This window comes from Homo sapiens, chromosome 3 (assembly GCF_000001405.40).
Source record: "Homo sapiens chromosome 3, GRCh38.p14 Primary Assembly".
Lineage (NCBI taxonomy): Eukaryota > Metazoa > Chordata > Mammalia > Primates > Hominidae > Homo > Homo sapiens.
In genome coordinates, this window is record NC_000003.12 from 46,787,701 (window position 1) to 46,813,091 (window position 25,391).

The 25,391-nt window shown below is 41.9% G+C and overlaps 1 pseudogene across 1 annotated transcript, besides 2 other annotated features; it reads right to left on the bottom strand.

Moving 5' to 3' along the window:
- Positions 1 to 20,939: 20,939 nt before the first annotated feature.
- Positions 20,940 to 24,874, bottom strand: PRSS44P (serine protease 44, pseudogene; annotated as a pseudogene). Its single transcript, NR_160551.1, has 3 exons — positions 24,522 to 24,874; positions 23,406 to 24,173; positions 20,940 to 21,889 (listed from the first exon to the last, which is right to left on the bottom strand). The product of NR_160551.1 is annotated as a serine protease 44, pseudogene (transcript).
- Positions 23,830 to 24,454: an enhancer, noted in NCBI's record as "H3K4me1 hESC enhancer chr3:46853020-46853644 (GRCh37/hg19 assembly coordinates)". NCBI's record gives its function as "activates a minimal SCP1, AML or CMV promoter by ChIP-STARR-seq in naive H9 embryonic stem cells {active_cell/tissue: H9 hESC(naive)}" and the evidence as "EXISTENCE:reporter gene assay evidence [ECO:0000049][PMID:30033119]".
- Positions 24,852 to 24,931: a silencer, noted in NCBI's record as "silent region_14294". NCBI's record gives its function as "represses an Ori minimal core promoter by ATAC-STARR-seq in GM12878 lymphoblastoid cells {active_cell/tissue: GM12878}" and the evidence as "EXISTENCE:reporter gene assay evidence [ECO:0000049][PMID:35858748]".

The following is a 25,391-nucleotide window of genomic DNA, read 5'->3' on the forward strand; positions in this document are numbered from 1 at the left end:
GAGTGTTTTCCAACTTGGTTCCATTCTCCACATCACTTTCAGGTACACCAATCAGACGTAGATTTGGTCTTTTCACATAGTCCCATATTTCTTGGAGGCTTTGCTCATTTCTTTTTATTCTTTTTTCTCTAAACTTCCCTTCTCGCTTCATTTCATTCATTTCATCTTCCATTGCTGATACCCTTTCTTCCAGTTGATCGCATCGGCTCCTGAGGCTTCTGCATTCTTCACGTAGTTCTCGAGCCTTGGTTTTCAGCTCCATCAGTTCCTTTAAGCACTTCTCTGTATTGGTTATTCTAGTTATACATTCTTCTAAATTTTTTTCAAAGTTTTCAACTTCTTTGCCTTTGGTTTGAATGTCCTCCCGTAGCTCAGAGTAATTTGATCGTCTGAAGCCTTCTTCTCTCAGCTCGTCAAAATCATTCTCCATCCAGCTTTGTTCTGTTGCTGGTGAGGAACTGCGTTCCTTTGGAGGAGGAGAGGCGCTCTGCGTTTTAGAGTTTCCAGTTTTTCTGTTCTGTTTTTTCCCCATCTTTGTGGTTTTATCTACTTTTGGTCTTTGATGATGGTGATGTACAGATGGGTTTTCGGTGCAGATGTCCTTTCTGGTTGTTAGTTTTCCTTCTAACAGACAGGACCCTCAGCTGCAGGTCTGTTGGAATACCCTGCCGTGTGAGGTGTCAGTGTGCCCCTGCTGGGGGGTGCCTCCCAGTTAGGCTGCTCGGGGGTCAGGGGTCAGGGACCCACTTGAGGAGGCAGTCTGCCCGTTCTCAGATCTCCAGCTGCGTGCTGGGAGAACCACTGCTCTCTTCAAAGCTGTCGGACAGGGACATTTAAGTCTGCAGAGGTTACTGCTGTCTTTTTGTTTGTCTGTGCCCTGCCCCCAGAGGTGGAGCCTACAGAGGCAGGCAGGCCTCCTTGAGCTGTGGTGGGCTCCACCCAGTTCGAGCTTCCCGGCTGCTTTGTTTACCTAAGCAAGCCTGGGCAATGGTGGGCGCCCCTCCCCCAGCCTCGTTGCCACCTTGCAGTTTGATCTCAGACTGCTGTGCTAGCAATCAGCGAGATTCCGTGGGCGTAGGACCCTCTGAGCCAGGTGTGGGATATAGTCTCGTGGTGCGCCGTTTCTTAAGCCGGTCTGAAAAGCGCAATATTCGGGTGGGAGTGACCCGATTTTCCAGGTGCGTCCGTCACCCCTTTCTTTGACTCGGAAAGGGAACTCCCTGACTCCTTGCGCTTCCCAGGTGAGGCAATGCCTCGCCCTGCTTCGGCTCGCGGACGGTGCGCACACACACTGGCCTGCGCCCACTGTCTGGCACTCCCTAGTGAGATGAACCCGGTACCTCAGATGGAAATGCAGAAATCACCCGTCTTCTGCGTCGCTCACGCTGGGAGCTGTAGACCGGAGCTGTTCCTATTCGGCCATCTTGGCTCCTCCTCCAGCAGTTTCTTATAAAACTAAATATATTTTGCCATATGATCTGGCAATTGCACTCAGTCTTTTTAATCAGGTGAGTTGGAAGCTTATGTCCAAACAAAAACCTACACACACATGTTTATAGCATTTTTTTAATAATTGACAAAACTTGGAAGGAACCAAGATATACTTCAATAGGTAAATAAATAAGCAAACTGTAGGATAGCCATACAACAGAATATTATTCAGCAATTTTAAAAAGAGCTATCAAGCCATGAAAAGACATGGAGGAACTTTAAATGCACATTGCTAAGTTAAAGACACCAATCTGAAAAGGCTACATACTGCATGATTCCTACCATATGACATTCTGGAAAGGGCAAAACTATGAAGACAATAAAAAAGATCAGTTGTTGTGAGGATTCGGGGAGTGGGGAAGAGGGAAGGTGAGATGGATAGGGAAGACAGGGTATTTTTAAGGCAGTGAAACTATACAACGTGATACTCTAATTGTGGATACATTTTATTATACATATGTCTAAAGTTATAGAATATACCAAACAAAGAGTAAACTCTATGAGCTTAGTCAATAATGTGTCAATATTCACTCATCAATCGTAACAAATGTACCACACTAATGCAAAATGTTAATAAAAGGGGAAAGTGGATGGGGAGGTTAAAAGAATATATGTGAACTCTGTACTTTCACTCATTTTTTCTGAAAAACTAAAACTGCCCAAATATAGAGTCTGCTAATTTTTAAAAGATAGAAATGAAAAATAGATCAGTAGTTTCCAGGGGTTGGTGGCTATGTGTGGTTGACTATAAAAAAGGATGGCATAGGGAAATTTTTAGAGTGATAACACTGTGCTACATGGTACAGGGTGTTTGATACACAGGCTCTACGCATAGAACTGTACATCCACAAAGAACAAATTTGAAAGTGGGAACATTTTAAAATTCAACCAAGAAGTCAGGAGGTCTTGGTCTGAAACACAGACTGTGATGAAATAATCTAACTATATTACAAATGTTGACATAATCTTACTGAAGGGGATGTGGGAAAAGGTAACCGACTTAAGTAAATTTGGAAAAATGGTATTTGACTGGAATCTCTACAGAGTTAACACTAGTTTGTAAAGTTTTTCTCACAGAGGTACAGGTTACAATTCTGAAACTGCTTTACATGTACAGTGGAGTAGAAAAAATGAATACTGTCATGTACTGCAGAGCAACCATTTGGTCAAGGATGGACCATATATATGACAGTGATCCCATAAAATTATAATAGAGCTGAAAAATTCCTATTGCCTAGTGATGTCATAGCCATCGTAACATCATAGCGCAATGCATAACTCACCCGTTCGTATTAATGCTGGTGTAAATAAAACTACTGCACTGCCAGCTTCAGTAGACTTAAACATTCCTGCCTGCCAGCTCTGAGAGCAGCAGATCTCCCAGCACAGCTCTTGAGCTCTGTTAATGGACAGACTGCCTCCTCAAGTGGGTCCCTGACCCCCATGCCTCCTGACTGGGAGTCACCTCCCAGCAGGGGTCGACAGACACCTCATACAGGAGAGCTCTGGCTGGCATCTGGTGGGTGCCCCTCTGGGATGAAGCTTCCAGAGGAAAAAGCAGGCAACAATCTTTGCTGTTCTGCAGCCTCCGCTGGTGATACCCAGGCAAACAGGGTCTAGAGTGGACTTCCAGCAAACTCCAGCAGAACTGCAGAAGAGGGGCCTGACTGTTAGAAGGAAAGCTAACAAACAGAAAGCAATAGCATCAACATCAACAAAAAGGATGCCCACTCAAAAACCCCATCCGAAGGTCACTAACATCAAAGACCAAAGGTAGATAAATCTACAAAGATGAGGAAAAACCAGCACAAAAAGGCTGAAAATTCCAAAAACCAGAATGCCTCTTCTCCTCCAAAGTATCACAACTCCTCGCCAGCAAGGGAACAAAACTGGACAGAGAATGAGTTTGACGAATTGACAGAAGTAGGCTTCAGAAGGTGGGTAATAACAAACTCCTCCAAGCTAAAGGAGCATGTTCTAACCCAATGCAAGGAAGTAAAGAACTTGAAAAAAGGTTACAGGAACTGCTAACTAGAATAACCAGTTTAGAAAGAACATAAATCACCTGATGGAGCTGAAAAACACAGCACGAGAACTTCGTGAAGCATACACAAGTTTCAATAGCTGAATCGATCAAGCAGAAGAAAGGATATCAGAGATTGAAGAGCAACTTAATGAAATAAAGTGTGAAGACAAGATTAGAGAAAAAAGAATGAAAAGGAACTAACAAAGCCTCTAAGAAAAATGAGACTATGTTAAAAAGACCAAACCTACATTTGATTGACGTAATTGAAAGTGATGGGGAGAATGGAACCAGTTGGAAAACGCACTTTAGGATATTATCCAGGAGAATTTCCCCAACCTAGCAAGACAGGCTGACATTCAAACTCAGGAAATACAGACAACAACACAAAGACACTCCTTGAGAAGAGGAACCCCAAGACACATAATCTTCAGATTCACCAAGGTTGAAATGAAGGAAAAAATGTTAAGGGCAGCCAGAGAGAAAGGTCAGGTTACCCACAAAGGGAAGTCCATCAAACTAACAGTGGATCTCTCGGCAGAAACTCTACAAGCCAGAAGAGAGTCGGGGCCAATGTTCGACATTCTTAAAGAATAGAATTTTCAAGCCAGAATTTCATATCCAGCCAAACTAAGCTTCATAAGCTAAGGAGAAATAAAATCCTTTACAGACAAGCAAATGCTGAGGGATTTTGTCACCACCAGGCCTGCCTTACAAGAGCTCCTGAAGGAAGCACTAAATATGGAAAGGAAAAACCAGTACCAGCCACTGCAAAAACATACCAAAATGTAAAGACCGTCGACACTATGAAGAAACTGCATCAACTAACGGGCAAAATAACCAGCTAGCATCATAATGACAGGATCGAATTCACACTTAAACAATATTAACCTTAAATGTAAATGGGCTAAATGCCCCAATTAAAAGACACAGACTGGCAAATTGGATAAAGAGTCAACACCCATTGGTGTGCTGTATTCAGGAGACGCATCTCACGTGCAAAGACATGCATAGGCTAAAAAATAAAGGGATGGAGGAATATTTACCAAGCAAATGGAGAGCAAAAAAAAGAAAAGATTTCAATCCTAGTCTCTGATAAAACAGACTTTAAACCAACAAAGATCAAAAAAGAAAAAGAAGGGCATTACATAATGGTAAAGGGATCAATGCAACAAGAAGCGCTAACTATCCTAAATATATATGCACCCAATACAGGAGCACCCAGATTCATAAAGCAAGTTCTTAGAGACCTATAAAGAGACTTAGACTCCCACACAATAATAGTGGGAGACTTTAACACCCCACTGTCAATATTAGACAGATCAATGAGAGAAAATTAACAAGGATATTCAGGACTTGAACTCAGCTCTGGACCAAGCAGACCTAATAGACATTTACAGAACTCTCTACCCCAAATCAACAAAATACACATTCTTCTCAGCACCACATAGCACTTATTCTAAAATTGACCACATAGTTGGAAGTAAAACACTCCTCAGCAAATGCAAAAGAATGGAAATCATAACAAACAGTCTCTCAAACCACAATGCAATCAAATTAGAACTTAGGATTAAGAAACTCACTCAAAACCGCACAACTACATGGAAACTGAACAACCTGCTCCTAAATGACTACTGGGTACATCACAAAATTAAGGCAGAAATAAATAAGTTCTTTAAAACCAATGAGAACAAAGACACAATGTACCAGAATCTCTGGGACACAGCTAAAGGAGTGTTTAGAGGGAAATTCAAAGCACTAAAATGCCCACATGAGAAAGCGGGGAAAGATCTAAAATAAACACCCTAACATCACAATTAAAAGAACTAGAGAAGCAAGAGCAAACAAATTCAAAAACTAGCAGAAGACAAGAAATAACTAAAATCAGAGCAGAACTGAAGGAGATAGAGATACGAAAAATTCTTCAAAAAATCAATGAATCCAGGAGCTGGTTTTTTGAAAAGATTAACAAAATAGATAGACCATTAGCCAGACTAATAAAGAAGAAAATAGAGAAGAATCAAATACACACAATAAAAATAATAAAGGGGATATCACCACTGATCCCACATAAACACCTCTATGCAAATAAACTAGAAAATCTAGAAGAAGTGGATAAATTCCTGGACACATACACCTTCCCAAGACTAAACCAGGAAGAAGTAGAATCCCTGAATAGACCAATAACAAGTTCTGAAATTGAGGCAGTAATTAATAGCCCACCAACAAAAAAAAAGGCCAGGACCAGGTGGATTCACAGTCGAATTCTACCAGAGGTACAAAGAGGAACTGGTACCATTCTTTCTGAAACCATTCCTAACAATAGAAAAAGAGGGACTCCACCCTAACTCATTTTATGAGGCCAGCATCATCCTGATACCAAAACCTGGCAGAGACACAACAAGAAAAGAAAATTTCAGGCCAATATCCCTGATGAACGTCAATGTGAAAATCCTAAATAAAATACTGGCAAACCAAATCCAGCAGCACAATAAAATCTTATCCACCACAATCAAGTGGCTTCATACCTGGGATGCAAAGCTGGTTCAACATATGCAAATCAATAAACGTAATCCATCACATAAACAGAACCAATGACAAAAACCACATAGTTATCTCAATAGATGCAGAAAAGGCCTTTGATAAAATTCAACATCCTTTCATGCTAAAAAAACACTCAATAAACTAGGTATTATGGAACACATCTCAAAATAATAAAAGCTATTTATGACAAACCCATAGTCAATATCATACTGAATGGGCAAAAGCTGGAAGCATTCCCTTTGAAAACTGGCACAAGACAAGGATGCCTTCTCTCACCACTCCTATTCAACATAGTATTGGAAGTTCTTGCCAGGGCAATCAGGCAAGAGAAAGAAATAAAGTGATTCAAATAGGAAGAGAGGAAGTCAAATTGTCTCTGTTTGCAGATGACATGATTTTCTATTTAAAAAACCCTATCGTCTCAGCCCCAAAACTCCTTAACCTGATAAGCAACTTCAGCAAAATCTTGGGATACAAAATTAATGTGCAAAAATCACAAGCATTCCTATACACCAATAATAGACAAACAGAAAGCCAAATCATGAGTGAACTCCCATTCACAATTGCTACAGAGAAAATAAAATACCTAGGAACACAACTTACAAGGAATGTGAAGGACCTCTTCAAGGAGAACTACAAAATGCTGCTCAAGGAAATCAGAGAGGACACAAATGGAAAAACATCCCATGCTCATGGATAGGAAGAATCAATATAACAAAAATGGCCATACTGCCCAAAGTAATTTATAGATTCAATGCTATTCCCATCAAGCTACCATGACCTTCTTCACAGAATTAGAAAAAACTACTTTAAATTTCATATGGAACCAAAAAAGGGCCCATATAGCCAAGACAATCTGAAGCAAAAAGAACAAAGCTGGAGGCATCATACCACCTGACTTCAAACTATACTACAAGGCTATAGTAACCAAAACAGCATGGTACTGGTACCAAAACAGATACATAACCAATGGAACAGAACAGAGGCCTCAGAAATAATGCCACACATCTACAACCATCTGAACTTTGACAAACCTGACAAAAACAACCAATGGAGAAAGGATTCCCTATTTAACAAATGGTGTTGGGAAAACTGGCTAAGCCATATGCAAAAAACTGAAACTGCATCCCTTGCTTACACTTTATACAAAAATTAACCCAAGATGGATTAAAAACTTAAACGTAAGACCTAAAACCATAAAAACTCTAGGAGAAAACCTAGGCAATACCATTCAGGACATAGGCATGGGCAAAGATTTCATGATTAAAACATCAAAAGCAACTGCACAAAAGCCAAAATTGACAAATGGGATCTAATTAAACTAAAGAGCTTCTGCACAGCAAAAGAAACTATCATCAGAGTGAACAGACAACCTACAGAATGAGAGAAAATGTTTGCAATCTATCCATCTAACAAAGGGCCAATATCCAGAATCTACAGGGAACTTAAACAAATTTACAAGAAAAAAACAACCCCATCAAAAAGTGGGCAAAGGATATGAACAGACACTTTTCAAAAGAAGACATTTATGCAGCCAACAAACATATTTAAAAAGCTCATCATCACCGGTCATTAGAGAAATGCAAATCAAAACCACAATGAGATACCATCTCACGTCAGTTAGAATGGTGATCATTAAAAAGTCAGGAAACAACAGATGCTGGAGAGGATGTGGCGAATTAGAACACTTTTACACTGTTGGTGGGAGTGTAAATTAGTTCAACCATTGTGGAAGACAGTGTGGCAATTCCTCAAGGATCTAGAACCAGAAATACGGTTTGACCCAGCAATCCCATTGCTGGGTATATACCCCAAGGATTATAAATTATTCTACTGTAAAGACACATGCACACATATGTTTATTGCAGCACTATTCACAATAGCAAAGACTTGGAACCAACCAAAATGCCCATCAATTATAGACTGGATAAAGAAAATGTGGCACATATACACCATGGAATACCATGCAGCCATAAAAAAGGATGAGTTCATGTCCTTCGCAGGGACGTGGATGAAGCTGGAAACCATCATTCTCAGCAAACTAACACAGGAACAGAAAGCCAAACACTGCATGTTCTCACTCATAAGTGGGAGTTGAACAATGAGGACATATGGGCACAGGGAGGGGAACATCACACACCAGGGCCTGTCGGGGGGTTGGGGGCAAGGGGAGGGATAACATTAGGACAAATACCTAATCTAGATGACTAGTTGATGGGTGCAGCAAACAACCATGGCACATGTATACCTATGTAACAAACCTGCATGTTCTGCACATGTATCCCAGAACTTAAAGTATAATAAAAAATAAAAATTAAAAAAAAAACTACTGCACTGCCAGTCATATAAAAATATAGTTCATACAATTATGTACAGTACATACTTGATAATGATAATAAACAATGATGTTACTGGTCTATGTATTTACAATACTATACTTTTAATCATTATTTTAGAGCATACTCCTTCCACTTATTTTTTTTTAAGTTAACTGTAAAACAGTTTCCGTTAGGTCCTTCAGGAGGTATCTAGAAGAAGGCATTGTTATCATAGGTGATGGTTCCATGCGTGTTATTGCCCCAGTGGAACAAAATGTGGAGGGAGAAGACAGTGATATTGAAGATCTTGACCCTGTGTAGACCTAGGCTAATGTAAGTGTTTGTGTCTTAGTTTTTAACAACAACAACAAAAGCTTAAAAAGTAATAAAGAAATTAGCCAGGCGTTGTGGCTCATGCCTGTAGTCCAACACTTTGGGAGGCTGAGGCGGGTGGATCATGTAAGCCTAGGAGTTTGAGACCAGCCTGAGCAACATGGCTAAACCCGGTCTCTACAAAAAAATACAAAAAAGTTAGCTGGGCACAGTGGCAGCACTTGTGGTCCCAGGTAATTGAGAGGCTGAGGTGGGAGGATCGCTTGAGCCTGGGAGGTAGAGGGTGCAATGAGCTGAGATGGCACCATGGCACTCCAGCCTGGGTGACAGAGTAAGACCCTGTCCAAAAAAGATAAAAAATAAAAATAAATTTAAAGTAAATGAATAATTTTTAAAATAGAAAAAAGTTTGTAGAATAAGGATGTAAAGAAAGAAAATATTTTTGTATAGCTGTACAATGTGTTTGTGTTTTAAGCTAAGTGTTATTACAAAAGAAGCAAGTTTTTAAAAATTTAAAAGTGTACAAAGTTAAAAAGTTAAGTAAGCTTGCCGGGCACGGTGGCTCATGCCTGTAATCCCAACACTTTGGGAGGCCGAGGTGGGCGGATCACCTGAGGTCAGGAGTTCAAAACCAGCCTGGCCAACATGGTGAGACCCCCGTCTCTACTAAGAATAGAAAAATTAGCTGGGCATGATGGCAGGTGCCTGTAATCCCAGCTACTTGGGAGGCTGAGGCAGGAGAATCGCTTGAACTCAGTAGGCAGTGGTTGCAGTGAGCCGAGATTGCACCACTGCACTCCAGCCTGGATGGCAGAGCAAGACCCTGTCTCAAAAAAAGAAAAAAAAAAAAGTTACAGTAAGCTACAGCTAATTTATTATTGAACAAAATATTTTTATATATTTAGTATAGCCTAAATGTACAGTGTTTATAAAGTCTACAAAAGTGTACGGTAATGTCCTCAGCCTTCACATTCACCCACCACTCACTCACTGACTCACCCATAGCAACTTCCAGTCCTGCAAGCTCCACTCATGGTAAGTGCCCTATACAGGTTTTCCATTTTTTATCTTTTATACCATATTTTACTGTACCTTTTCTATATTAGATAGGTTTAAATATACAAATATTTACCATTGTGTTATAATTGCCTACAGTATTCAGTACAGTAATATGCTGCACAGATTTGCAGCCTAGGAGCCATAGGCTACACCAGATAGCCTAGGTGTGTAGCAGGTTTGTGAAAGCACACTATGATGCTTACACAATGACTAAATTGCCTAATGATGCATTCCTCAGAATGTTTCCCCATCATTAAGCAGCACATGACTGTATATAGATAAATACAGAAATGATAATATGTATGTGTGTTTACTTGGGTTAGTATATATATCCTAGCTCTGTCTGCTGAAAGGTCTAATTTCCCCACTCACTTCAGTGTTGGCAAGACTTAGTAACTTGCTTCCAAAGAATTGGATATTGAAAGAGTTTTTTTATATGTAGAAATGTAACTTTAAAGTACAGAAACCTGGCAAATATAATCTTAACCAAAGACAAAAGTTAAGATCACCAGTGATGCCATGCTGATAGGATGTAACCTCTGATACAATGTGACAAGAAGGGTACTTCATCTCTGTGGTATTTTCCCCCAAAACCCATAACTCCAGGCTAATCATAACAAAAACATTAGGACAGTGGACATCCAAGACTCCAAGATGGTGTCAGTTCTACCAGTTTAGGAAAAGAATTGTACTCAATGGATGTCAAAATAGAGGGATGACATGCTGGATACTGATGTGGGATTTCATCCCTAAAGGCACTGTTGGGGCATTTCAATACAGCCACAACTGGTATTACAAGTATGTCAAAGTGAAGAAAGGGAGCACTCTCAGGGTTTCTATGCTGTTGGCAGCTTACATGTTTTTCAACTACTGCCTTTCTTACAAGGAGCTCAAACTTGAAAGGTTATACAAGTACTACTGAAGTGGAAGCCAATGCAAAGGACATACACTGCATTTCTTACTGTGACTTTCTTTGCCCTGGCATCATTCCTTGAGGAATACAGTTGTTATTGAAACTTTTCCTATCTTAATTGAGAATTTATGCCTATGATGATAAATTGTATGTGTCAGCTTGACTGGGTTAAGGGATATCCACATAGCTGGTGAAACATTATTTCTATTGATGGTGTTTTTGGAAGAGATCAGTATTTGAATCAGTAGACTGAGTAAAGATCTGCCCTCGCCAATGTGAGTGGCATCATCCAATCCAATTAGGGATCAGACAGAACAAAAATGTGGAGGAAGGGCAAATTCTCTGTCTCCTTGAGCTGGGACATCCATTTTCTCCTGCTTTTGGACATCAGATCTCCTGGGTCTCTGGCCTTCAGAGTCCAGGACTTATTCCAATGCACCACTGGCATAAGAACTTATTTCTCACCCCCAGGTTCTCAGGCATTTGAACGCTGAATGAATTACACCATCAGTTTTCCTGTTCTCCAGCTTATAGATAGCATTTCATGGGGCTTCTTGACCTCCATAATTGTACAAGCCAACTCCCATAAGAAGTATCCTGTTACATATACTTAATATATCCTATTGGTTCTGTTTCTCTGGAGAATCCTGACTAATACAATGCCCAACAAAAAATAACCAGTATATATATTTTTTTAAAAATCAGACAAACCCAAGTTGAAGGACATTCTACCAAATATTTCATCAGAAGTCCTCAAAACTGTCAAAGTCATCAAAATAAGGTAGGACTGAGAAGACCAGAGGAGACTGAGGAAGAATTGTGACTAAATACCATGTGTATCCTGAACTGGATCTTAGAACAGAAAAAGAACATTGTGAGAAAAACTAGTAAAATTTGAACACAGTCTGAAGTTTAATTAATATTAAGGTACCAGTGTTGATTTCTTAGTTTTGACAAACATACCATGGTAATATAAGTTGTTAACATTAGGGAAACCTGATGAGAAGTATACAGGAACCTCCCTGTACTATCTTTGCAACATTTCTGTAAATCTAAAATTATTCCAAAGTAAAGCTTTTATTTTAAAAAATGCATGAAGCAAAAACTGATAGAAGATGAAGAAGAAATAGCCAATCCACAATTATAGTCAGATACTTCAAGACTCCTCTATCAATAATTGATAAAACAGGTAGAAAAAAGCCAGTAGAGAAAGGGAAGATTTGAACAATATTATCAACAAGTGACATTTATAGAATATGCCACTCAACAGCAGAATACACATCCTTTTCAAGTTTTCATAGAACTTTTACCAAGAAGGGTCATATTTGGAGTAAATTCATAAAAAATCTGTCATCTCATCACAGTGGAATTAAATTTGAAATAAATAACAGAATAATATTTGGGAAATCTCTGATATTTGGAAACTATATAACACAACTCCAAACAACTGATGGGTCAAAGAATCAAGGGGAAAATTACAAAGTATTTTTAAGTGAATAAAAATGAAACTACAACATATCAAAATTTGTGGGATACCTCTAAAGAAGTACAGAGACAATTACAAAACATTGCTTAAAAAAATTAAAGGAGACCTAAATAAATGAAGAGATAGATCAAGTTCATGGGTTGAAAAATATCAATATTGTAAGGTGTCAATTCTTCCCAAATTGATGTACTACAGATCCAATGCAATCCCAGTAAAAATTCCAGCATACTTTTTTTCATAGAAATCAGTAAACTTATTCTGAGGTTCATATGAAAATGCAAAGAACCTAGAATGCTTAAGCAATTTTGAAAAAGAACACAGTTGGAGGACTAATACTACCTCACTTCAAGACATATTATAAAGCTACAGTAATCAAGTTGTTGTGGTATTATCATAAAAACTGACAAATTGATAAATAGAACAGAATAGAGAAAGAGTCCAGAAATAGACCCACACATATAGGGACAGCTACTTTTTGACAAAAGTGTAAAGACAATTCAATGGCAAAAGGATAGTATTTTCAACAAATGGTGCTGGAACATTTAGATATTCATGTGCAAATAAATAAATAAACTTCAATCCATTCCTCATGATATATAAAATGTTTAACTTAATATGCATCATAAACCTAAATGTAAAACCAACAACTATAAAACATATAGAAGAAAGCATAAATGAAATCTATTACCTTGGGTTGGGCAAGATCACATTGATAAACTGGACTTCATCAAAATTACAAACATCTACCCTTCTTAAAATATTCCTATGGTAATGAAATGGCAAGTCACAGATTGGGAAAAAATAATTACAAACCATGAATCTGATAAACAAGTTGTATCGAGAATATATAAACTCTCAAAGCTCAGTTTAAAAAGATTTAAACCCCAATTTTTAGAAATAGGCAAAAGATCTGAACAAACACACCAAAGAATATATAGAGGCAAATAAGCACAAGAAAAGGGGCATATCATTAGTCATTAGGAAAATGCCTTCTTTTGAGAAGTGTCTGTTCATATCCTTCACCCACTTTGTGATGGGGTTGTTTGTTTTTTTCTTGTAAATTTGTTTGAGTTCATTATAGATTCTGGATATTAGCCCTTTGTCAGATGAGTAGGTTGCGAAAATTTTCTCCCATTTTGTAGGTTGCCTGTTCACTCTGATGGTAGTTTCTTTTGCTGTGCAGAAGCTCTTTAGTTTAATTCGATCCCATTTGTCAATTTTGGCTTTTGTTGCCATTGCTTTTGGTGTTTTAGACATGAAGTCCTTGCCCATGCCTATGTCCTGAATGGTAATGCCTAGGTTTTCTTCTAGGGTTTTTATGGTTTTAGGTCTAACGTTTAAGTCTTTAATCCATCATGAATTGATTTTTGTATAAGGTGTAAGGAAGGGATCCAGTTTCAGCTTTCTACTTATGGCTAGCCAGTTTTCCCAGCACCATTTATTAAATAGGGAATCCTTTCCCCATTGCTTGTTTTTCTCAGGTTTGTCAAAGATCAGATGGTTGTAGATATGCGGCGTTATTTCTGAGGGCTCTGTTCTGTTCCATTGATCTATATCTCTGTTTTGGTACCAGTACCATGCTGTTTTGGTTACTGTAGCCTTGTAGTATAGTTTGAAGTCAGGTAGAATGATGCCTCCAGCTTTGTTCTTTTGGCTTAGGATTGACTTGGTGATGCGGGCTCTTTTTTGGTTCCATATGCACTTTAAAGTAGTTTTTTCCAATTCTGTGAAGAAAGTCATTGGTAGCTTGATGGGGATGGCATTGAATCTATAAATTACCTTGGGCAGTATGGCCATTTTCATGATATTGATTCTTCCTACCCATGAGCATGGAATGTTCTTCCATTTGTTTGTATCCTCTTTTATTTCATTGAGCAGTGGTTTGTAGTTCTCCTTGAAGAGGTCCTTCATGTCCCTTGTAAGTTGGATTCCTAAGTATTTTATTCTCTTTGAAGCAATTGTGAATGGGAGTTCACTCATGATTTGGCTCTCTGTTTGTCTGTTATTGGTGTATAAGAATGCTTGTGATTTTTGTACATTGATTTTGTATCCTGAGACTTTGCTGAAGTTGCTGATCAGCTTAAGGAGATTTTGGGCTGAGACGATGGGGTTTTCTAGATATACAATCATGTCGTCTGCAAACAGGGACAATTTGACTTCCTCTTTTCCTAATTGAATACCCTTTATTTCCTTCTCCTGCCTAATTGCCCTGGCCAGAACTTCCAACACTACGTTGAATAGGAGTGGTGAAAGAGGGCATCCCTGTCTTGTGCCAGTTTTCAAAGGGAATGCTTCCAGTTTTTGCCCATTCAGTATGATTTTGGCTGTGGGTTTGTCATAGATGGCTCTTATTATTTTGAGGTATGTCCCATCAATACCTAATTTATTGAGAGTTTTTAGCATGAAGGGTTGTTGAATGAAAATGCTAACTAGAACCACAATGAGACCATTATAAACTTATTCAAATGACTACAAACGGGAAAGACTGACCATACCAACTAGTGGCAAGGATGTACAGGAAATGGAACTCTCGTACACTGCTGCGAACCTAAAATTGTACAACCACTTGGAAAAAAAGTTTGGCAGTTACTTAAAAATGTAAATATACACTTATTCTATGATCCATCCATTCCACTCCCACATATTTACCTAAGAGAAATGAGAGTAAGTGTACATGCAAAGACTTGTACACAACATGTTCATACCAAGAGGAAAAGGTATTCAAACTTCAGCACAATTTAAGACAAAAGTATAGTATTTCTTCAGTGTAGATTTATTAAATGCCTATAGAACAGGGTTTTGATTTGCTTTTTCTGTTTCTTGAAAGAGCTAATGCAGTTGTTGAAGCTTCTAACCAAGACAGAACTTAAGTAATTGGGAGACTTGGTCCCCTTGTTTTCAGGGCTGTGCCTATAACTCCCTCCCCACCTTTGGATATTGCTTAAATATGGCAAAAGGATTTCTAGTTTTTATAACTAATAGTTTTTGTTTGTTTGTTTGCTTGCTTGCTTGCTTGCGGATTTGCATAATCATTGATGCTTACTATTGCTGATTCATAATATAAAGAATGACTCCTGTCCTCCATATTTATGCATGTGCTAGAAATAGTATACATGATATAAAGAGTATGAAGTTTTCGTAAGCATTTATATTTCAAGCTCTTTATTTAAACATTGTTGAAACATGTGGCATAAACCTTGTTTCATTTATTTAATAAACTAGAGTAGTATAAAATAATTTAAAAACAGACACTTGTACACAAATGATCATAGTAGCTTAATTTGTAATAGTATAAACCTGGAAACAACCCAAATGTCCATCAATAGATGAATGGGTAAACAAATTGTGGTATATCCATACAATGAAATACTACTCGTCAATAAAAATAACATATTGATACACACTGTGATTGTGGATAAATTTCAAAATAATTGTGCTGTGTGAAAGAGGCCAGACCCCCCTGAAAAAGAATACTCTATGTTTCCCCTTTACATAAAATCCTAGGAATTACAAACTAATGAATAGTGACTGAAAGCAGATCACCAGTTGAGGACAGAGGAGCAACCAGAAGGGCTGGGAAAGAGGGATTACCAAGGCTAACAAAGAAACTTTTGAGGGAAATGTTCATTTTCATGATTACAGTAATAGCTGCAGATGTGTGTCCATATATCACAACTTATCAAATTGTACATTTTAAATAAATGCAGTTTATTGTATGTCAATCATACTTCAATAAAGCTGTTTTCTTTTTTAAAAAAAGTATGCCAAAAATTTGAAAATCTAGATTAAATATATTTCTAAAAAAAATTAAAATATCAATAATAACACAAGAAGAGATTGACAACCTGAAGACCAATAACCATGAAATAAATAAATAATAAAAGGCTCCCCCCACCCATCCCCACAAAGCTTCACACAATAGCAGTTTTAAAGATGAGTTCCACCATTTTCCTTTTACCTTTTACTTGTTTAAAAAAAAATGATACACAAAAACCATTTCATTTAAGTAATTATTTTAAGGGGGCCATACTTGTAACTGCAATTTTGGTCAAGAAATAGAGCTATGCCAGTCATGCTTGAAGCCCTTCCATGTGCCTTCCATAACACAATTGCCTTCTGTCTCTCAAATATAACCTATTAATCTGACTTTTAAGTAATTCTTTCCTTGTGTTTCTTATAATTTTATCACCCAAATGTGTTTTCCTGAACACTACACTTTTGTCTTGCTATGACTGTTTCATATTTGATATGTCTTTAGAGACACTCTTCACTTATAATTTTCCCCTATATTGCCTTACAGTTCATCTGTTGAAGAATCTGGGCTGCCTGACGTGTAGAGTCTCCCACAATCTGGACTTTGTTAATTGCCTTCATGGTGTGGTTCAACATGTTCTGTTTTCTGTATTTCCTGTAAATCAGCAGCTAGTCTCAGGTTCAATCCCTTTGTCAACATAGTAGGTGTTGCATTCTTTCACTTGGAGACACACAATGTCTGGATGGGCTCATTTTCTGATGTTATCAGCTGTTGATTATTTTTGCCTGGATCTACTAATTCACTGAAGGTTGAAAAATAGTAATCTAATGGTATCATTTCTCTTTTTGAGGTGGAAAAGTTTTATGAAGATTTTGGATTTTAACATATTTTATGAGTTTTTATGCATTGTAATTGTTATGCTTACTGTGGTAGATTAGAAAATATGGACACAATATTTTGCATATTCTCCCATCAAGAAATGAAATTTAGTTCTCCATCCTCATTTAAACTGAACTGGCCTTGTGACATGCTCTGACCAACAGAATGTGGTAGAAATTAAGTTTTACAACTTCTGAATCTAGGCATAAAGAGGCCTGGCAATTTCTGCTTTCACCCACTTGGAGCACTGTCCTGAGTCCACCTGATCTAATCTACAGGAGGATGAAAGGCCTTTGGAGGAAAAGTTAGGGCACCCCTACCTATATTCCCATATAACCACTCACCATTTGAGCAAGAGCATCTTGGGACATCCCCACCATGCTTGAAGTGTAACTACAGGAATTAGCTCAGACTAGACCAGCAGAACTGCCAACTATTCTACAAAATTATGAGGAATACAATTGAATCTCATTATTCACAGAAGTTATGTTTTATAAAGTCATCATGAGGACTGAATGCGTGAATACTGAATCATTGCTCCTAGAGGAAATGTAGGGTTAGATTCCTGTGAGCCTCTAGTCAAAATAGACTCATCAACCAGTCAACATATAACCTTGTTTTATGTATGTTCCTTTAAAGACATCTCCTTTAGCACACTCGACTGGTTGAACTCCCAGGCAACAGAACTATGCATGCCTAAGGAAAGCTTATCTAACACGCCTATTTTTCCTCCATAAGGCACATCACAGCCTTATTGCACTTAGGAGCACTAACCAGCATTTCAGCAGTACTCTTGGGGTCCTTTTATTTATTTATTTTGAGATGGAGTCTTGCTCCGTCACCCAGGCTGGAGTGTAGTGGCATGATCACAGCTCACTGTAACCTCTGCCTCCCAGGTTCAAGCAATTCTCCTGCCTCAGCCTCCTGAGTAGCTAGGATTACAGGCATGCGCCACCATGCCCAGCTAATTTTTGTATTTTTAGTAGAGACCGGGTTTCACCATGTTGGCCAGGCTGGTCTCGAACTCCTGACCTTATGATCTGCCCGCCTTGGCTTCTCAAAGTGCTGGGATTACAGGCGTGAGCCACCGCACCTGGCCCCAGGGCCCTTTTAAACAGCAAAATCACCAACAACAAGCACAAAAATGTTTTTTTAAAAGTGACAGTTAAGAGATGACAAAAAAGATACTTGTTTACAGTAAGAGAGATGAAAGCAGACAAAATAGCACATTGTACAGCCTCAGCTAGGAACTTAGGCATCAGAAAACTCAAATTTTTCCATGCCCTGGGCATGTCCAAAAATCACTCTGAGTACTGATTTGGGGGTTAAAATAAATTTCAGCAAGTAGGTGAATTTGCAAGTACGAATGCTTGAACAATGAGAATTGACCATAATACAATGTGTTGTTTTAGGCCACTGAGTTTGGGGTGATTGTTACACAGCAATAGAATCCTGAAACACACAAAGACATCTTTTGCCAGGCAGGGTAACTTAGATTGGGTTCCCTGAACATAGGCTCTGAGAGAGAATTCTGTCCAACGGTTTGTTGAGGAGTGCTCATAGGAGAAGCTGCTCACAGAAGGCAGTTGCAACTGACATCTCAGCTGATCCTACAAGAGGCCTTTCCAAGTTGTCCCAAATTGAGGGAAGAAGACTGGGCCTTTATATCTCTGCATAGCAATTATTTGCTATGGGATACCCCTGTGAAGAGACTTAATCTTGAGGGAATCAGTTCCCTGAGGCTGAGTGCCCATTTTGTGAGGGGTGCAGCTGTGAATCAGTATCTTCAGAAGCTGAGGGATGGCTGTGATTTCTCTGCAATGGGATCTAGCAGGAACACCACATGTCAGAACACAGGGTGCCTCTTCTGATTGGTTCTGAGTCCTGTTGACATGATAGCTTCCTTGCTATCTGGTATGACAAGAAATTTCAGGCTTATTTTATATATTTCCTGTTTCATACCTGTAAATTTTTCAAGCCATTTCTCCAAGAAGCCCTGGTTTCTTTTGGTGGCAAACAGTATTTCTTGTTGTTGTTGTTGTTGTTGTTGTTGTTGTTGTTGTTGTTGTTGTTTGGGGGGGGATGGAATTTTGTTCTTGTGGCCCAGGCTGGAGTGCAATGGAGCGGTCTCGGCTCACTACAACCTCTGCCTCCCAGGTTCAAGCGATTCTCATGCCTCAGCCTCCCAAGTAGCTGGAATTACAGGCACCTTCCACCACGCCTGGCTAATTTTTTTGTATTTTTAGTAGAGACGGGGTTTCACCATGTTGGCCAGGTTGGTCTCAAACTCCTGACCTCAGGTGATCCACCCACCTCAGCTTCCCAAAGTGCTGGGATTACAGGCATGAGCCACCGTGCCTAGCCGGCAAATGGTATTTCAAGACCACTAAAAATGCTTATTGCGCCCTATGTCACTTGCCCCTTATGACTAGAAACCCATAGGGAATTTTGTTGTTTGTTTTTATTTCCTTTTTGTTCAAGTCTGGCATTTTTAGTAAAACTGATTGCCTGCCAGTCAACAACTCCTCTCCCTGTGTCATCTATCTCTTTCAGGTTCTACCTAGCCACCAAGCTCCTTACCTAGGAGTCCTCCTAATGACCACCTCTATCCCCCAACTGCCATCTACATCTTATCTGTGGATGAAGGCCAGTGCCTCATTCATAAAAGATAATTCAAAATTTTTGTTGGAAAGAGTAAAATCGACTAACGTTTACTTGGCACTTGATGTTTTGTTCCCTGGGGGGCCATGCCCATCTTTTCTGGTAGCCAGAGGCTATTCCTCAGTAGCCAAGATGCTTGAATGGAATTTCTATTCTCCTATAACAAGAAACATGCTCTAATATTGGCAGACCAAAGGGCACCCCATCCAGAACCATAAACTTCCTGGAGCCTGGGACTTTCCCCACTGCAGGGGCTGTAACCCTTGCCTACCCAGTTGTGTTTTTTCCCCCCTTCACGAAGGCAACCTGGAAAGCAAAAGGAGGACAAAGCAATGAGGTGAAAGGGCAGAGAGAGAAAAAAGTAAGGCAATAGAGGATATATGAGCACCTAATTATCTATATATGAGCATCTAATTATCTATTATCACTCACTCACTCACCAAATAGTTCCTAAACTCCTGCTCTGTTCCACACCTGGAGGTGGAGGATGGAAGATAAGGAAAGATTAGACAGAGTCCCATGGCCATGAGGAACAAAATGTCAACCAGTGGAAACAGAGAAATTAACAGGCACAGAGACTGCAGAGTCCAGGGAGCCCAGAAGAAGGCACATTACATTACACAGCCCAGCAGAGTCCACAGGAGTGGTCTGTGGAAAGGGGGAATGCTTTTACTGGGGCTGAACTGATGAGGAAGAAGAAAGAAGGAAATGAGAAGCCATACTGGCATTCCCCGCAGATGGAACATGGAAAAGGGTCAGTCAGTCTGTTCTGAAAGAAAGCTGCAAGTAACAGAAATATGTGGCAAGTCTTGGGCATCCAACTTTTCTTCATGGGCATTTCTGTAGGTCATGACCTAGGACTTGCTGGGTTTAGCTGTAACCATGTAGAGTTTGAAAAGCAGAGTGTTTTCGCTCACTGAGCCCCAGCTCCCTCAGGCAGCAGGTTTTTTTTTTCTCTCTCTCTCTCTCCCCCTCCCCTCTTTCTCTCTCTCCTGCATGCACACACAAACACACACACACATACACATACAAAGAGAGAATGAGCTCTTCCTTCCCACCCTCCTCCCTGTGGGTACTCAGCTCTCTGGGCTCAAGGACCAGCCCATAGTCCATTTTGTCTCCTCAAGGCACACTTGTTATAGAGCAGCAAGGAGAAGCAGGAAGGTGTCTGAGTGTGCTACACCCCAGTCTCTGTCCCTCTTGATGCCCCACTCCTGATGCAGGGTTTGTTAAACTCAAGTACCACACTCCCAGCTACAGAGATGCTGATGGAAAAAAAAAAAAAAACAGGCAGCAGGACCCACTGGGTAAAGCCACCTGTCAGACTTAAATGAAGGCAGACAAGCTCCTCATCCCTGGCTCTGCCAGAGTTTAATAAAAACCATGAATATCTTCCTAATAAATGGGAAGCCAATTCTTTACAGAGTATGTTATATACAACCTCACACCCCAGTGAGCAGAGCTTCAGAAACACAGGAGACTCCCCAAATATTTATTTAGTTGATTTCCGAAAACTCCACACCCCATAACAGACTCAATACAATTTGTAGTGTCCCTGAAAGTGGCCACCAGGGCACTGAGGAAAGAGGTGCAAGAATGGGTTGCCCCAAGAGAGCTGGTGTGGCAGAGGCTGTCCACTCACAGATGGATCCACACTGGGCTGCAGGGGAACTTCTCCCAGCCCCAGACTACTGAGCCAGAGTGGAAGTCCCAGGCCTCACACGTCTGCAGGGACCTGGTAACGCCTCCTTCTCTCTCTGTGAGCAATCACCCAGCTGGCTGGTTTCACAAAGTCTCAGGTGAGAGCCCTGAAACCAGAACCACGTCTAACGCTTCCTTCACCATTGATGATGTCTCTTCTTTGATAGATGTTCCTCCAGATATTGATGAGTCACCGTGGCCCACTTGGCAGGGAGGCTGGCCCTCTAGCTGGAATCGGTTCACTCCCTCCTTCCCACCAGCCAGAGCACAGCCCTGGTGCAGGCATGGCTGAGGCAAGTGACCAGAGCACCAGGCAGGGGCACTTTCCAGGCCCCAGTCTCCCTGCCATGCTCTATTGTACGGATCTCCAGAGGGCCCGTGGATTCCAACTGGCATTTGTGGAAAGGGCATTGAGAAGGAGTGGGAAGTTGGTCAGAGGAGACACCTAAGTGTGAGACTCAGAAACAGCAGAAGAGTGGAATGGGGTCTGATCACAGGGTCACCAGGATGCCCAGGGGCATCACCAGACACAGGACTAGGATGAGGAAGTCTTTGAATTCAAACAGGAAGCTTGTCTCAGGTGATCAATAATCCATTTCTTGTAGAAACTAACTTCTGTGTAAACTCCAGGGTATCCTTTGCGACCGCAGCCAATGCCCCAGCTCACAATCCCCACCTGGACCCATGTGCCATTTAATTCACAGACCAGGGGCCCCCCAGAATCTCCCTGGAAAAAGAAAGACAGTCACTGTAGGAAAGAAATAGGATCCACATCAGAGCAGGCTAATTGCACTGCAATGCGCTACAGAGCTAAGCACTAAGGGGGCTTCCCCAGGAACCCCTAAGACCCTCCTAGCCTTAGGTATCTGTCAATATGAGATCTGAGAATTGACAATTTCCAATAAACCAAAATCATGTACCTACTAAAAAGGCGTGTTCCAAAAAACGGAATATACCTAATGAAATTGTGCCTACTCTGAGACAATAATGAGTCAAGTGCTAACCTGAGTACACTGCCTGTCACACAGAAGGGTCCCAAAACATGGAGCATGTATTGTTGGTGGGACCTGCCTGATTCACCCCTCCTCCCACTCCAGGCTGTGTCAGCTGCTCTCTTTTGAAGGATCAGGTAGGCTGCCCAGGAGAGCCTTGGTGGCTTGTCCTCACGTCCCATTACCATGAATAAGGGTAAACGGAGGGGCTAGGAGATAACCCAGTCCCTACTGGTTGGGGATGAGGAAGCTTTGAGGAGACAACTGCAATGCTGAGGCAGCAAGAGGCCCATGAGCTGACCTGACAGGCATCCTTCCCTTGGTCATTATAGCCACAGATGGTCCCTTTCTTGACCATTTCACTCCTCATTCTTATCTTTTCCTTGAGCACCTCATTACATTTATCATGAAGAATAATGCTTAGCTCAGCCTCCTGAGGCTCAGTTACTATCTTTTCTGATGAATCTACAGAGAGACAATTTACAACTGAGTGGGTGTGTATAAGTGGGACAGGACAGGAGAACCCCATACCCACTCTGGGTCTCAATACCATGTGTTCACACACAGACACGCTCTTAGGCATTGGATATTGTCCCATTTGACAAAGGAAGATATGAGGCCCAATGTTGACATGGGGAGATAAGGACATAAGATCCAAACCAAAACAGGGGAAATAAGAACAGACAGGAAAGGGAAGGCAAGGCGTTACCACCCTGAGAAACCAAAACCAAGCATCTGTCACTTTGAATAGTAGTACTAATAGTGACACAGTATCCTGTACATCAGTAAAGCATCTATACTTTCTAGAGCAGGATCACAGACTGTCAGACAGGTAATGCCCCAAAGGTACCAAATCCAGCCTCTCCCCAAGGATAGGAGGCCCTACACCTCTCTGAAAGGTCTCTGGCCTCTTCTCACACACAGGAAGCTTCCTATCTACCAAGGCAGGTACTTCCAGGGAGGGACAGCTTAAAAGGGCAGACAGCTAGCTCATCGCCCCCAGAGGTAAAATCCACCCTAGAGAGAACCCTCCATGCCTGGCACCCAAATCCCCAGGTCCTGACAAACCAAAAGAATTTCATAGACCAGTTGTTAAAATTATTCCCAGGCAGCATCTACTGCACCCTCCTCCCTGACTTACTAAAAAAATCTGCCTCTCTGTCCCTCCCTTTAGCTTGTAGATCAACCCCAGGGCACCGAGCAACATTTTCCCTGGTCTGGGGCTGCTGTAGTCTTGCTTCATAGTCTCACCTGTTTCATTTACTTTGCCCCATCCGGTCACCCAGCAGTTCGTACCAGCTTGCACCATGAAAGCCTGTTCAGGGAGGCACACAAGCTGGATGTGCGTGGAGTAATTCACAGGGAAGTCAAGCAGGGCAAGGGCAATGTCATTTTCAATTATTCCAGGAGACGTAAAATATCGGTGGATAACGACGTCACGAACTGGGACCACAAGTGCTGTTTTGGAGCGATGATGCACATTTGTGTCTCCCAGCTTCACTGTGTATTCCAGATGGCTGCAGGAAGATCCTCCAGGGTCTACACTCTGCTTCCACACCTTCGAGGTGCTTCCCGCCTGGTACCATCTTCCTATGCCAGCCAGCAGCTACCTCCCTCTCTCCAAGCCACATCCCTCCAGGACCCCTGACCACTTTAGCCAGTAGTCCCCAGATCAGCGGCGGAGGCAACACCCAGAAACTTGTTAGAAATGCAAATCCTCAGGTCTCACCCAGACTGGATAAAAACTATGGGGCTGTCACCCCCTTTTACAGATGAGGAAGAGGAAGTTCAGGGAGGGGGACAGACTGGCTCCAGGTCCCACAGCCTGATCAGGGCCCAAGCTCTGAGCCCCAAACCCTCACCCAGAGATGCAGTGAGCGGCAGTGAGTACCCAGTGTCTGGCGATAAGGGAGCCTCCGCAGATGTGTCTGTTGCTGGTCTGCAGGCTCACCTGCCAGGGCCACTTCCTGTCTGGAGCCGGCAATCCTCCAGTTATCCTTGAAGTCCGCTGGCCACAGGCTGGGGCAGGTCAATGAAAGGAAGGGACTAAGAGTAACGCTGCTGCAGCACCTTCACCAGAGCCAAATGCGCCTCGGAACCCTCAAAGCAAGGCCTGCATCCCCTGAGGCTCTTCGGAAAATGGCTGTGTCCTCCCAGGTCTCAGGGAGCCGCCCCGCCCCTGGACAGATCGTGTCCCCTGAGCCCCTCCTCCTCTAGGGCAGGTCCCCTCCCCCTCAAACCAGGCCAGTTCTCTGCGGCTGGGCATGGCCCAGAAGCGTCACCTGACGTTTAATGCTACTGTCCCTTTGGTCCATGTTGATGATAGTGTGTGTGGGATTGCCAGAGCCTGGTAAGAATCAGACTCACCTGAGGGAAGTAACACCGAAGCGGGGCGCACTGCGTTCCCCCTGGACTGGGGGGCCGCTGGGGATCCTGGAGCCCCTACAGGTGGCGGCTCCCATCCGCTCGCTCCGGGGTCCTGGCCGCCTGGCCCTGAGGGGAGCGCGGAGGGGAAGAGCAGTGCTACGCCTCCCTGCGCACCCACCCTGCCTGCCCGGGCCTCTTCGAGCCATGGCTGAAGAAGCAAGAACCAGGCCAGGAGCCCCAGGGAGCTGCCGCTCTGGGACGCCATGGATACTGCCGGCGACCTCAGCCTCCGTCGTGGCGCCGCCTCGCAGCGGTTTCCACGCCGGCCATGGGTTCTGGCGGCAACTTGGAGCGCCCGGGAGGGACGAGGGGGCGGGGCGGGGCCACCAGGCCGTCCGAGGGGCGGGGCCTGGGCGGGGTCGCGCCGTGCAGTCCTGACTCAGATGAGTCCTCTCTCTCTTCGCAGCTCTCCGTGGACTCAGGGCCCTCCACCTCATCGGGAGCCTCCCAGGCACTCAGCGTCTCCTGGCCTAGGGCCCTCGCCTCAGAGTGGCAGCTGTCTAGCCCTTTGTTCACACAAAAATGCGACCACTACTCTACGGCAGAGCTTCCTCCAGCCAGGGCTTTAGAGTCTCCTTCCCTTACTTGTTTGCAATAAAAATTAAAACTCTTTAACGTGCATGTTGCACTTAACATTACTAACCACTGCGTTAGAGACGATACTGCTACCTTTTTGAAAATCAACACCCACATTAGAGACGACACTGCTACCTTTTTGGAAATCAACACCCACGTGAGAAAAGGGGCATTGAGACTCTAAAGCAGTAGACAATCCCCAGATACCATCTGTAGAGTTGGAACTGCATTATT